We start from the raw sequence: 15,156 nt of genomic DNA, 5'->3' as shown, positions 1-15,156 counted from the left end.
CGATTCTCCTGCCTCAGCCTCCCAAGTAGCTGGGATTACAGGCATGCGCCACCTCGCCCGGCTAATTTTGTATTTTCAGTAAAGACGGGGTTTCACCACGTTGGCCAGGCTGGTCTTGAACTCCTAACCTCAAGTGATCCGCCAGCCTCGACTTCCCAAAGTGCTGGGATTACAGGAGTGAGCCACCGCTCCTGGCCAGAGAAGCTAGTTATTCTGTTTCTTCGTAATCTGTGTCTAATATCTTTCTCCATTTGTTCAACACCTGTTTGTTGGATATTCACAAGAATGTACCGTGACGGGTCCACTCTGAATCCCTCCGGCAATGACGATGACTCCCTCATGTTATCTAGGAGACACCTAACTGTTTTATGTGTGCCCTACTGTTGTCGCAGCAGCCCAGTGAGGTAGGGACTATCTTTTATCCCATTTTGCACTTGGGGACACTATGGCTCAGACAACTTAGCTTGTTCAAGGTCACCTAGCAGCAGGCAGTAAAGCCAGACTTGACCCCATTCTGGCTTCAAAGTTCCTATTTTTCATCTGTCACAGATTAATGGTAAGTTCACCGAGAATGCAAACAAGATATGCGTTTGGCTACAGCCTGGCGGCTGGGGCTCCAGGCCTTCAGGCTAAAGGAGCAGTTGGAAGGATGAGCAGAGCAGGAGGGGCAAAGGGAGTGACCCGGGAAAAACGCCTGGGGGCCTCTGTTTGCTCAAAATTGACTAGTTAAGTCACACACCATACCTGCCGCCGGCCACGTCACTCTTTCAGAAGGCTTTCCTGTTCTAATGAGGCCCAGAACCTGAGAAATATCTCTAAAGAAACACCCTTGGCCCTTGCAGCCAGCTCCCACAAAGTCTGGCAGCACCCCCAGCCCAGCTGCACGATAAGATAAGACGTGCCCAAGGGACCTGGGGCGAGAAGCCAGACTGGTGACACTGCACTGCTCCCTCCGTGACATCTGTTCACAGCAGACACTGTCCCTCCAGGGACTCGGAGCTCAGCCAAAAGGCCCCTGCTTTTAAGACCAGCTCTATGGAACTCCGCTAGCACTGCCCATCCAGAGAGCTTCTGCAATCAGAGTTGCCCCCAACCCTCTGACCAACCTAGTAGGTGAATCAGCACTCAGTCCTGGGCAGCAGGTCTTAGTAGTCATGACTAGCAGAAAGGACCTTGCATCAGGAGAGCGCACAGCCCCAGGTTGTTGACGTGTGTGCAGCTGGGCATGAGTGACAGGGCTATTTCTGCCCACCAAAGTGCTCTCAGCAAGCAGGAGGTGAAGGGAGATGCTGCCGGGAATTGTAAGATCTAGGCATGGCACCCGCTGCTTGAACCCTGCTAAGGACTGGGGCCCCAACACCCTGCAGTACCTAAACTGCCCTGATGGTTGGTTCACACAGACCACATGATGGTGAGAGGCCCTCACAGCACTGAATCCAGAAACAGGAGCCAGAGAACCTAGGGACTGTCATACCATTTTGAAAAGAGGCACCACTCTCGCTGAACTTCTTTTCTCTGCCACCTCCCTATAACCTTGATAGTGAGTGCTAGTGTCCTGGATTCTGATCAGCTGTAAGCATCAGCCTCCCTATAACCTTGATAGTAAGTGCTAGTGTCCTGGGTTCTGATCAGCTGTAAGCATCAGCCTCCCAGTAACCTTGATAGTAAGTGCTAGTGTCCTGGGTTCTGATCAGCTGTAAGCATCAGCCTCCCTATAACCTTGATAGTAAGTGCTAGTGTCCTGGGTTCTGATCAGCTGTAAGCATCAGCCTCCCAGTAACCTTGATAGTAAGTGCTAGTGTCCTGGGTTCTGATCAGCTGTAAGCATCAGCCTCCCTATAACCTTGATAGTAAGTGCTAGTGTCCTGGGTTCTGATCAGCTGTAAGCATCAGCCTCCCTATAACCTTGATAGTAAGTGCTAGTGTCCTGGGTTCTGATCAGCTGTAAGCATCAGCCACAAAGGACTATGCCCTTGACAGGCTTCCAGGCGCCCTGGGCAGTGGCTGGGCGGACTGCTGTAATCCCACCAGGCAGCTGCATCTGTGCAGGTTCCCGCAGGTGCCCCTTTCACACAAGAGCCACGTTCCTGGAAAGTTGTTCATCAACTGAGTCCTATTGGGGCTGCAACGCTGAGGGTGCGTTTTTAGACTATGAAGGCACAAAGTTGCCACCCAGCCAGAGGCACAGGGTGTCGTCTTCCACCCCTCCCTTTCCCCACCCTCAGCATCCAATCGCTCACCCAGTCCTGCCAGTTCTGTTTCCTCACCCTCTCTTGGGGCAGTCCCATTTTTATACCCACTGCCAATGCTGTGCTGCAGACCTCCAGCAGGGCTCCCGCGCGTGGCTCTCCGCTCCAGCCCATCCTTCGAGCCGCTTCCATCATGGTCCTGCTAAAATGCTGCTACAGCACATTGGGAGGCTGAGGCAGGAGGACCACTTGTTTGGGACCAGGATTCCAGACCAGCCTGTGCAATATAGCAAGACACCGTCTCTACAGAAAATAACGAAAATAAAAAATAAGACGCTGCTCTAAGGATGCCACTGGCTGCGGATAACCTTCCTACTGCTCCCTGCTGCCCTCAGGACAAAGCCTAAGTGCCTCATCAGCCCCTCCCTGATCCGCTGCCCCACACCGCTCCACCTCTGCCTTCCACCTGTACCCTAGGACCCCTTGGGTCCTGACAGGGAGACCCCGCCCTCTCTGAGACGGCTGCCACAGCAGCCCATCTGCCTCACCCCACGGAGGAAAACTGAGTCCAGGAGACAATCCCCCCCTAAATTTACCAACTGTTTCCCCCCTTCCAGAAGTTTCTTGAGAGCAGGAGCCATATGGATTCGTCTCTGCATGCCCAGCCTGAGACATCAGTGCCTAGGACTCAGGAGGCATACCCAGCACATGCTTGTAGAAGAAAGAAAGAAACAGGGAAGGTGTTTTTTGCTATTTATCGCATATTTAATTTCATCTTTATTATATTTTTCCTGATTGTAACAGGATGATGTCTTAGGTGTGAAAAATTAGAAGTGGAAGTGTTAGAGCTCTTCTAGAATTTGTCTAGCAGGTTCTCTGGTTTTTACTGAAACCAAACTCCCATGAGAAAACAACCTACAATTGGGAAAATACATAACTTAGAAAGAAAGGGAAAGTCTTTAGTGTGATAGAAATTCCTCCCATATCTGTTTCCTGTGCTTATTCTAATGCATTGAAATATAAAGTAGATCCTCTGAATACTTTGTTTCATTTTTACCAATATAGAATCATATCATGTTCTTACTGACTTGCTCCCCACTAAATACATTTTAGATATCTTCTGTATCTAATCATAGGGATCTACCTCATTCTTTTTGTTTTGTTTCATTTTGTCCATTGTTTTTTACTGATTGAACAAGAACACCTCTCTCTTTTCAAAGACACATGTAGTATTTAATTGTGTGGTTGTAGGCCAGCTTATTTAGCCCACACACCCTTGATTACAATTTGGCTCATTCCCAGTTTTTGACATTATCAATAATGATGCATGGAATAGCTTGTCTTTTTGAGCTTTGGGGAGCATTTTCTGTGGGAGACTTATTCTGTGGGAGACTCCTAGAAGTGGACTTACTAGGTAAGACTATTTTAAATTTTAATAGATAATTGTCAGATTGTCCTCCAAAAAAAAATGATTGTAACAATTCTGGTACGTTTGGTAGTAATTTACATTTCTACCAAGGACGTGAAAGTGCTTGCTTAGCCATGTCTTCACCAACACTGAGTATTATCAGTCTCTTAAGTCTTCGCCAATCATGTAGGCTATCATATCTATTACACAGATTTGTGATGTTTCTTCAGGGGCTTGCTTGTTTGTACTCAGTTTTTCTGTTGGCTCATTTTTAAGGCCTCCACAGACTTCAGGATAATCAGTCCTTTGTGCTCTGTGCAGCAGTGTTCCCCCCGTTTCTCTTTGTCTCCTGATTTTGTGTGGTGTGTGGTGGTCGAGGAAATGGCTGGAGCACACACTCTGAAGGCAGGCTACTGGGTTTTGTCTGTAACTTACTGGCTGAATGACCATAGTTTAGTTACTTAACCTCAGAGTCCCTTAGATAAGGACAGTACTTATCCCAGGGATTGTTATGAGAATGACACGACTTCAGATATATAAAGTGTTCTGTGCAGGGTTTGACATGAAATGAGCGCTATAAGTGTATATGCTATTATTATTTTGCATTCAAATAATTTTAATTTTATGCAGTCAAATGTATTAATCCTTTATGGCTTCCGGATTTGATGTCATAGTTATAAAGGTTTTCCTCATTCTAAGATTAGAAAGAGATTCACAAAGGGGACTATTTGAAGGAGTCTGCGGGGAGTCCATTTGCAAGATGTCTCCTCCTCCCTTCCCTCCCTTCTGTCCCTTCCGTCCCCTCCGTCCCTTCCGTCCCCTCCGTCCCTTCCGTCCCTTCCGTCCCTTCCGTCCCTTCCCTTCCTTCCGCCATTTTGCTGTCTTGTAAATTGATTTGGCTTTTCACATAGTGGGAATTTTTTTCAAGGGGAAACCTATCTGTGTTTACATAGTGGAAGGATGATACACTGGTCTGGGGACTATGTTGGCTGTCGTGTCATGCCTAAAGTGTAGGCCTGTGTAGGTCGTCCCCTCCCTTCATGGATAAAACAACTACTAGTTATCAGTAAGTGCCAGCCTCATACTACGGCTCCTACCCTGAAGGAGTTCACCGTCCAGTGAGAGAACGGATAGTGATCAGGTGAGAGGTGTCACCAAGGCCCTGTGGTGGAAATAACCAGCTTAATGGAAGGAAGAGCTTCCTGGGTGGACGGCGAGGAAGGGCCCAGAGGGCATTTCAAACACGGGGGATGGGGTGTTCAATCTGCTCTACAGATCCTGGTGACCTGCCTGTGAGGCGCAGGGTCCCTGGCCACCCCCACCCCCCACCTGCACAGAGGCCCCGGGGCAGGGAAGAATGGCTCAGCGCTGGGCAGGGTGAGATGGAGAGTGGTCAGAGGCCAGACCACAAGCATCGGGCCAAGACTAGGAAAGCCCAGCTCCCCTCCCAGCTGTAGAACTTCACTGGTCAGAGAGCCTGAGGAGCCCTAAGAAAGGGACTTCAGTCCTCTGGGGCTCCCTTTGCGTGTCCTTACAATGCAGCCTCAGCTTCTGTCCTTAGGCAGCTGTGCAAATTCTGTAAGATGGTGCATGTGCAGACATTCTGTCCTGCACAATAAAAGTGGACACCTTTGGGGCACTTCCTGCCGCCGCTTGACCGGGAGTTGCTCCCGCCATGGGGGCTGTGCTGTGGGTTCAGCCTGTCTGCATTGCCAGGGGTTCCTGGGCCTGCTTCCTGTGGAGGGGCAGCTTCACCCTGGATGCAGACCTCCCCGTTTGCAGCCCGTCCTGGTGAGCTGACTCTTGCCTCCTGGTCCCCTAGTCTTTTTGTTGACCCAGATCAGGACTCTAGTCCAATACTATTGAACCCTGGCAGAGATGCTCCACAGGAAGGGCTGAGCCTCCTCCTCCCACAGGTGTTTAGTAGCAAGAAAAGAAACTGTGCTTGGGGAGCCTACGCTTTCCCTTTGGCCTTGTTTATCCCAGATATTGGTATGAACCCCTCTTGGCACTGGCAGGGGTTCTACCATCTGCTCACACTAAGGGTTAAAGGCCTGCAGAGGGGACAGTGAGCTCTTCCATCCAAACTTCAACTCCATTCCACAATACCAGAGCCCAGTGAATGGCGTCCCCCGTGGGCAACAGTGATTCTCATGGGAGCAGGGCCCCGAAGGTGAAGGTCACTGCAGAGGGATCCCCACACCTGGATCCCTACGATCCAGTCAGAGGGCACAGAAAGGCACCTGGCTGTTGGGGAAAGGACCCTGGTGGGAGTCACAGAAGCCTTTGTCCCAGTTTCAGCACTGCCCAGTTCTGTTGCCTTGGAGAGGTCCCTTGCCCCGATGGTTCTGTGTCCTGATTTGTAAAACGGGAAGGTTGGACATAGGGCCGAAACGCATGCCCTGTGGGCGGATGGGAGCTTATGCACTTTGAGGTTGGATGCCTTTGAGTGGGCGTGCGCTGCCCAGGGAGAAGCAGCTCCCACCCCTTCCTCCAGTGAAGGCGTTGGCCTTTGTATTTTGCGCTGTTCCCTGGTCCTGGCTTTTGAGAAAAGAGCCAGCAGCCTCTGGTCTTGTTGACACCATCATCTGAGAGTGGCAGGCCACCAGAGGGAAGGGCTAAGGACAGAGCCAGATCTGGCTGGGCCATCTCACCTTCTGGAGGCCGAACTTGACCCGGGATGGAAATAATGAAGCAGCCACTGGCTTTCCCAAGGCCTGTGATCCTCCTGGTCACCAGAAATCCCAAGTTCTTATCTCCTGCTCTTCCAGGTAGGCTGGGCCAGCTTCCCAGGATCTGCTCAGGAGGGCCCTGTGCTGAGAAGGGTCCTGCATTTGGTCTAATTCTCTGCTTTTGCCATCTTGAAATTCCGAGTCTTTTTTTCTTTTTTCCTGTTTTAGACTTCATTCCTGAGGCTCACCCTTAATCAACTTGAACGAGGGGCCCCATATGTTCCTTTTTACTGGGCCATGCAAATTACTGTGGGTTACATTAATGCTCATCTGGAAACCTTTTACCAGTCTCCTCTGTTAGGGTACTGGTTCCCAGCGCAGAGCTTCTGTGATTACCAGAAGAACACTGAAGGAGTCTTCTTGTCTGTCTGGAGCCAGCTGAGATGGCCCTGAGATCCACAGAGCCTCCTCCACGCCCCTGGATGGAGGCGCTCCTGCTCTTCCACCCTTTGTATCTCTCACTTGGCACCCATTCCCGTAATTAATCACAAACTCCGTCTGAGCTATTCCTTTCTAAGCCATGCCCTCTGTACTCTGACTTGCCCCAAATAGACAGATGCTCAATAAATATTTGCTGATTGGCTGGAAAGCAAACAGAGCTATCATCTCAGCACAGAGTTCAGGACATTGCACACAGTGGGTGCTTAATCGATGCTGCTGACTCATCCGCAGAGCAGGCCAGGGTGCAACACAGCGTGACCGTGCCTGTGCTCAGCCTCCCTTCCCTCCAACCGTTCCCTTCCCTTCCCTCCAACCGTTCCCTTCCCTTCCCTCCAACCGTTCCCTTCCCTTCCCTCCAACCGTTCCCTTCCTCCAACCGTTGCCTGCCTGATGAGGATAGGACTGACACTGAAATCCTGGGTGGTGCTGTTGAATCGTGGGGCTTCCTGGTGTGGGATTGTCCCCGGCGAACCTACTCTTTCCCTTTGGCCTCGTTTATTCCGGAAGTTGGTATGGACCCCTCTTGGCATGGGCAGTTCTACCATCTGCTCACGCTAAGGGTTAAGAGCTTGCAGCAGGGAAGCCCAGAGCCCCCAGAGCCCAGTGAATGGCGGGGAGAGAACCGCTGGCGGCAGGTGAAGGTCACTGCAGAGACAGCCTCCATTTCATGGCGGTGGAAATGCAGCCTTAGCGAAAAGAAGGATTTGCTTTTATTTATGTGTTTATTGAGACGGAGTCTCGCTCTGTCTCCCAGGCTGGAGCGCAGTGGCGCGATCTCAGCCCACTTCAACCTCCGCCTCCCCGGTTCAAGTGATTCTCCTGCCTCAGCCTCCCAAGTAGGTGGGACTACAGGGGCCCGCCACCACGCCCAGCTAATTTTCTTTTATTTTTAGTAGAGACGGGGTTTCACCATATTGGCCAGGCTGGTCTCGAACTCCTGATCCACCCGCCTCCACCTCCCAAAGTGCTGGGATTACGGGTGTGAGCGCGCCCCTAGCCTGCTTTTATTTTTAATTAAATTTTTGTTTTTGTTTTTGTTTTGAGAGACGTCTCACTCCATCCCCCAGTCTGAAGTGCAGTGGCGCAATCTCGGCTCACTGCAACCTCCACCTCCCGGGTTCAAGTGATTCTCCTGCCTTAGCCTCCTGAGCAGCTGGGATTACAGGCACCCGCCACCACACCCGGCTAAATTTTGTATTTTTAGTAGATATGGGGTTTCACTATGTTGGCCAGGCTGATCTCAAACTCCTCATCTCAGATGATCCACCTGCCTCCGCCTCCCAAAGTGCTGGGATTACAGGCGGGTGCCACCATGCTCGGCTAATTTTTTAATTTTTAGTAGAGATAGGGTTTCACTATGTTGGCCAGGCTGGTCTCAAACTCCTGACCTCAGGTGATCAACCCAGCTCAGCCTCCCATAGTGCTGGGATTACAGGCGTGAGCCACCGTGTCCAGCCAAAAAAGTTTTTCATGGAGACAGGGTCTCGTTATGTTTCCCAGGCTGGCTGGAACTTCTGGGCTCAAGTGATTTGCCCACCTCAGCCTCCCTAAGTGCTGGGATTAAAGGTGTGAGCCACCGCACCTGGCCAGGAAACGATTCTCTCCCCATCCCTGTAGTTCCAAAATGCCCTTGGAGAAAATGATAAGGACCATTTACATTTGCAAAGAACTTTACAGTTTGTAAACCACTTTCATAAACATCATTCTCAAACTGTCCTGTAAGTCAGGACAAATACTTAAGTACTAATTATCTGGTTGTTGCTTTAACATTTTGGGTTTTTTTTTTACTCCAAATGTTCATTGAAGAAAAATTAGAAAATACAGATAAAGCAAAAAAAGAAAATAATATCTGATATCCTATCGCCTCAAGACGATGCTTAATATTTTAGTCTGCACCCTATCAGATTGATCTAAGTATATAAATATAGATCCTTAAAAATAGGTTAATGCTATCACTGTTCTGTAATCTTACGATCCCCATTTTTAGTAGGTGACTGAGAGAGCTCCCAAGCCATGCAGCTATGAAGGGGCAGGGCCAGGTCTCGACTCCGCTGTCCTGGTTCTAAGTGTCCGCGTCCTCAAGCCAGGCTGCCACTCACACTTCGAGGCTTTGCAGGGGTTGACCGCCTCCATTTCATGGCTGTGGAAATAGAGCCCCAGCAAAAAAGAAGGGTTTGCTTTGGTTGGGCTCAGGGTTGGAGACCCCCAAGCTGTCCTGGTATCCCACAATTCAGCATGGGCAAGGCTGGGCCAAGCTGGACCTGGCTGCTCAGGAGTCCCCACCTCTGCCAAACTGGACTTTGCCTTACAGTGAACAGTCACAGCGATGACAGGGGTCAGCTGTCAGGCGGGAGGCCCAGAGGCGGCAGGTGCCAGGTGGCAGCCTCAGGCTGTGAAGGACTGACCCCAGAGAACAACTGGATATCTGTTTGGTGGCCTTGGAGGTCTCTCGCTCGTTAGTATTTTTAGAAAGAGGGTGAAGGCACAGCAGGGACCTGACACTTGCCTGGCTGCCCTGGGGCATCGCCCTGAGCTGTGGAAAGGGCACTTCTAGCCTGAATCTGGGCCAGCGCTAAAGGCAGGACTAGCATGCCTGCCTGCCTGCGCCCATTCATTCATTCACACTAGCATGCCTGCCTGCCTGCACCCATTCATTCATTCACTCTAGCATGCCTGCCTGCCTGCACCCATTCATTCATTCACACTAGCATGCCTGCCTGCCTGCGCCCATTCATTCATTCACACTAGCATGCCTGCCTGCCTGCGCCCATTCATTCATTCACTCTAGCATGCCTGCCTGCCTGCGCCCATTCATTCATTCACTCTAGCATGCCTGCCTGCCTGCGCCCATTCATTCATTCACTCTAGCATGCCTGCCTGCCTGCGCCCATTCATTCATTCACTCTAGCATGCCTGCCTGCCTGCGTCCATTCATTCATTCACTCTAGCATGCCTGCCTGCCTGCGCCCATTCATTCATTCACACCAGCATGCCTGCCTGCCTGCGCCCATTCATTCATTCACACCAGCATGCCTGCCTGCCTGCGTCCATTCATTCATTCACTCTAGCATGCCTGCCTGCCTGCGTCCATTCATTCATTCACTCTAGCATGCCTGCCTGCGTCCATTCATTCATTCACTCTAGCATGCCTGCCTGCGTCCATTCATTCATTCACTCTAGCATGCCTGCCTGCCTGCGCCCATTCATTCATTCACTCTAGCATGCCTGCCTGCCTGCGCCCATTCATTCATTCACTCTAGCATGCCTGCCTGCCTGCGTCCATTCATTCATTCACTCTAGCATGCCTGCCTGCCTGCGTCCATTCATTCATTCACTCTAGCATGCCTGCCTGCCTGTGCCCATTCATTCATTCACACTAGCATGCCTGCCTGCCTGCGTCCATTCATTCATTCACTCTAGCATGCCTGCCTGCGTCCATTCATTCATTCACTCTAGCATGCCTGCCTGCCTGCGCCCATTCATTCATTCACTCTAGCATGCCTGCCTGCCTGCGTCCATTCATTCATTCACTCTAGCATGCCTGCCTGCCTGCGTCCATTCATTCATTCACACTAGCATGCCTGCCTGCCTGCGTCCATTCATTCATTCACTCCTGAGCACACGCTCCCAGCCAAATTCTGTGTTAGGCACTGGAGGAAAGGATTCCCCAGGACTCTGGCCTAAGAGCTGCGGGAGGAGGAACACAGTGGTGAGGACAGACCCGGGTTCAAATCTTGCCTCTGATCTCCTAGCCGTGTGACTTTGGGTAAGTTCTGTCCTCTCTGGAGCCTGTTTCCCCTCACAGGGCCTCTGTGAGAAGTGAAGGGGGATGCACAGGGAGCCTGGCCGCACATGGGGTCAGTGCAGGGAGCCAGGGAGAGGCTGTGGATTGGAATCCCTCCAGGGCTGGGCTTTTTGTGTGTTCAGCGTCCGCGGAGAATCTGGTTCTCAGGACACCTTGGGGCTGAGTTAGACATCGCCTGGGACTTACATTGACTTTTGCTGAGGGTTTTGCTGAGTTTGGCAGCAGCTCACCTATTTCACCAGATACTAGCTTCTCACCACGAGGAGGAAGGGGTGTCTCCTCTTTCTACAGACGAGTGAGCTGGGAAGCACCGAAGCTGCGTGAGTTGGATGGTCAGCAGTGGGATCAGATCCCTGCACCCACTTGCCGGCCCTCCCCTGCTTACCTTCTCCCCAGAGCAGACCCTGGCCCCCTTCACAGAGCTGCTGCTCAGGTTCAGGTGTCAGGGCTGGGAGAATGTGTGACTGGCCCCATTTCGAATCCTGAGGAAGGACAGGAGAGCCCCGGTATGAGGATCCAGGCTGGACCTGCTTTGCTGGCAGGGAAAAGGCATGAGTCCTAGGGCCAGGCAATCCAGGCAGGCTGGTTCCAGGCCCAGGCCTCCTTGGATTGGCTGAAGCTGGCAGGCGCAGCAGATTCAGGCTGGCCCACCAATCAGGAGCGGCTTTGATCCCCAGACTCAGTGCTCAGGGACTTCTCTATCTTGACCTCCTGGGCCCCCCGAGCTCCCTCCGGATAATGCACCAGTATCCCTGCCTTGTCTGTAGCCTGTCTCATCTACAGGTCTATGGCCAGGACCCAGGATACTGCTGAGCTCAGGGACAATAGACACACACACGCACACAGAGACAGACACACACACAGACACACACACACACACAGAGACACATGCACACACACACAGAGGCACAGAGACACGCACACACAGACACAGACACACAGAGACACATGCACACACACACAGAGGCACAGAGACACGCACACACAGACACAGACACACACAGACACATACACAAGACATGAACACACACATTCACACAGACATATGCACAGAGACATGGACACACACATACACACAAACACACATGAATACACACAGACACACAGGCACACACACACAAACATACAGACACACACACAGACACACAGACACATGCATAGACACATTCACACAGACACTCATGCACACACAGACACACATGCATACACACAGACACACACGCATACACACAGACACACACACACAGAAAACACATTGTGGCTGCCGTGGCATATGGAGGGGAGTCAGCAGCGCAGTCGAGGTGTTTGTATACTATAGCCATTGGCAGGCACCCCCAGAAGGTGCCACAGAAGAGGTTCATGGAGTTCAGCTCACCCTGGTCCTGCCTTTGAAGTCTCTTCTGAATGCAGTGAATGACAAATGGATATATATATATATATATTTTTTTTTTTTTGAGACAGGGTCTCTCTCTGTCATGCAGGCTGGAGTGCAGTGGTGTGATCTTGTCTCCCTGCAACCTTTGCCTCCAGGTTCAAGTGATTCTCCTGCCTCAGCCTCCCGAGTAGCTGGAATTATAGGCGTGCACCACCACATCTGGCTAATTTTTGTATTTTTAGTAGAGATGGGGTTTCACCATTTTGCCCAGGCTCATCTCAAACTCCTGACCTCAAGTGATCCACCTGCCTCGGCCTCCCAAAGTGCTGGGATTACAGGTGTGAGCCACCATGCACTGCTGACAAATGCATCATTCATTCACTCCTTCATTCATTCAGCACTCCAGGTGAGGCGCCCCCTTGTTCCCATGAAGCTTTTCCACTGGGGAGGGATGGATAAGCTCTCTATCTCCTGGCTTCCCCCTTTATACACTTTATACAGGCTCTGGATTCTGTGTCCTTAACTGCTACAGCCCTGGAAGCATAGGCTGTGTAAGTCCCTCAACAATGGGGACCAGTCTAAAATATTTATAGGTAGCATATCTAGATCATTCCAGAGAGGAGTGAATGGATCCAAACCGTCTTTTGAACCAGCAGCCAGAGGCCCCAGCAGCTCCTGTCTTCCCAGCCCAGTGCTTATTCTCTTATTCTCTGCTAAGCTTTGTCATTTTAGGGGATTAGGAGAATAGGATGTAAACCGAAACGTGACTGAGACAGATCTCCATTGAGGAGAGATTTGTTTTGCCAAGGTTGAGGGTGAACTCAGAGAAAAGAAACACCATAGGATCTGTGACCTATGCTTTTTCCAAAGAGGATTTTGGGAATTTCAATATTTAAAGGGAAAGAGCAAAGCAAGAGGGGAAGCTTTTTTAAAAGGAGGTTGGGTAGGCAGTGAGGCTCGGGGCACATTCTTGTGAGGCTCTGATAGTGCTCGATGAATCTACATTTTACATGTGACAAGAGGGAGTGGGGGCGGATCAATTATGTATTTGTCCTGGGCTCGGTGAATCCGCATTTTATGTAAGATAAAGTAAGCATGTGAAATGACTGCCGTTTGGGAACACAAGGAAGGCAGTTGTTTTGTTTTGTTTTGTTTGTTTTGTTTTGTTTTTGTTTTGTTTTGTGTGACTCCATGTCCAAGCTTAACTTTCTCTTCATCATGGTGAATTTGGGGGTCTCAAGAGTCTAGTTTTCTTTCACAGGGGCTTCGGGAAGGCAGGGATCTTCGTTGTATCCTAGATGCCTAGCTCGTGCTAGGAGCTGGAAACAGGTTTGTTGCATTGAACTCAGTAGGAATCTTGGCAGGCTGTCTGCAGGGCTGGGTGGGGTGGGAAATTCACCACCTTCCCTTTCTCCCATCTCACTGTCAGATCTGATCTACTTCATGAGGTCTCACCTGGACGATAGCCAGAGACTGCAGGCTCAGCTCTCATTGCTTCTTATTCTAATTGCCTGAAATCCCGAGGAAATAACTCTTACCTTTTGGAAATGTATAATCTAGTGGGGACATACAAAACTCATATACACCCTTATGTGGAATGTTGACATTTTGCTTCATGATTAATTGTTCTGAAAGTCCTTTCCACTTACCCGTGTTTAGGTTTCCTGTCTGGATTTAGGCTCCATCACAAAATCTAAGGTTCAGCAAAAACGAGAGGCTCTCAGTGCTTCTGAGTGAGGACATGAAAAGGATCTGGGAATAAAAGCACTAGACCCTTACAGACTCATGAGCAGCAGCAGCTGGCAGCACTGGGCTGGGAAGACAGGAGCTGCTGGGGCCTCTGGCTGCTGGTTCAAAAGACAGTTTGGATCCATTCACTCCTCTCTGGAATGATCTAGATATGCTACCTATAAATATTTTAGACTGGTCCCCATTGTTGAGGGACTTACACAGCCTATGCTTCCAGGGCTGTAGCAGTTAAGGACACAGAATCCAGAGCCTGGCTGGGTTCAAAGGCCAGCTCTAATACTTAAAAAATGGGTGCTCTCGGCCGGGTGTAGTGGTTCATGCTTGTAATCCCAGCACTTTGAGGGTGCAAGATGAGAGGATCCCTTGAGGCCAGGAGTTCAAAACCAGCCTGGGCAACATAGCGAGACCACATTCCTACAAAAAACGTTTTAAAAATGTAGTGTAGTGGTGTGCACTTGTAGTCCCAGCTACCCAGGAGGCTATGGCAAGAGGATCCCTTGAGCCCAGGAGTTTGAAGCTACAGTGAGCCATGATTGCACCACTGCACTCCAGCCTGGGTTGTAGCAGGGCAAGCCGCAGACAACACCCCTCAGGCACCGAGTTAAAGAAAGAAGGGCTTTATTCGGCCAGGAGCTTTGGCAAGATTCACATCTCCAACAACCGAGCTCCCCGAGTGAGCAATTCCTGTCCCTTTTAAGGGCTCACAACTTTTAAGGGGGTCCGCGTGAGAGGGTCATGATTGATTGAGTAATCAGGGGGTACGTGACCGGGGGCTGCATGCACCGGTAATTAGAACGGAACAGAACAGGACAGGGATCTTCACAGTGCTTTTCTTATACAAATAACTGATTACGTCAGGGGTCGATCTTTAACTACCAGGCCCAGGGTATGGGGCCGGGCTGTCTGCTCGTGGATTTCATTTCTGCCTTTTAGTTTTTACTTCTTCTTTATTTGGAGGCAGAAATTGGGCATAAGACAATGTGAGGGATGGTCTCCTCCCTTAGGGTGACAGAGGGAGATCCTGTCTTAAAAAAAAATAAAAATAAAAGGGTGATCTCGGGGCCTGGTGCAGTGGCTCACGCCTGTAATCCCAACAGTTTGGGAGGCTGAGGTGGGAGAATCGCTTGAACTCAGGAGTTTGAGACTTAGCCTGGCCGACATGGTGAGACCCCATCTCTACAAAAATTTAAAAATTTTTCATTTCTAGTGAGTTTTCAGGTGATGTTGCTGCTGCTACTTCAAGGAGCACACATGGAGAACCACTGGCATATAGGAGAAAAACGCAGGCTTAGGATTTAGACACTGGGGCCATCCCTCAGTATCTGGTGACTTTGGGCATTTGACCTCTTTGAGCCTCAACTTCTTCACTTGTAGAATGGGACTACATCCCAGTTACTTGGGAGGCTGAGGCAGGAGAATTGCTTGAATCCAGGAGGTGGAGGTTGCAGTGAGCCAAG

At 50.4% G+C, this 15,156-nt stretch overlaps 1 protein-coding gene, 1 long non-coding RNA gene and 1 pseudogene across 6 annotated transcripts in view, besides 1 other annotated feature; all 3 read left to right on the top strand.

Moving 5' to 3' along the window:
- The window catches only part of NINJ2 (ninjurin 2), a 99,150-nt gene that overhangs the window by 70,830 nt on the left and 13,164 nt on the right, over positions 1-15,156 (top strand). The gene's annotated exons all lie outside the window — the stretch shown is intronic.
- Positions 3,028-3,083, top strand: RNU7-103P (RNA, U7 small nuclear 103 pseudogene; annotated as a pseudogene).
- On the top strand, positions 6,130-6,918 carry LOC105369595 (uncharacterized). Its single transcript, NR_134624.1, has 2 exons — positions 6,130-6,368; positions 6,618-6,918. It is a non-coding gene; the product is annotated as an uncharacterized LOC105369595 (long non-coding RNA).
- Positions 8,679-8,973: a silencer, noted in NCBI's record as "tiled region #2537; K562 Repressive non-DNase unmatched - State 7:EnhWF". NCBI's record gives its function as "represses a minimal TATA promoter and a strong SV40 promoter by Sharpr-MPRA in K562 cells {active_cell/tissue: K562}" and the evidence as "EXISTENCE:reporter gene assay evidence [ECO:0000049][PMID:27701403]".

This window comes from Homo sapiens, chromosome 12 (assembly GCF_000001405.40).
Source record: "Homo sapiens chromosome 12, GRCh38.p14 Primary Assembly".
NCBI lineage: Eukaryota > Metazoa > Chordata > Mammalia > Primates > Hominidae > Homo > Homo sapiens.
The sequence above is the reverse complement of the archived record's forward strand: the minus strand, read 5'-3'. Positions and strand labels throughout refer to the sequence as shown.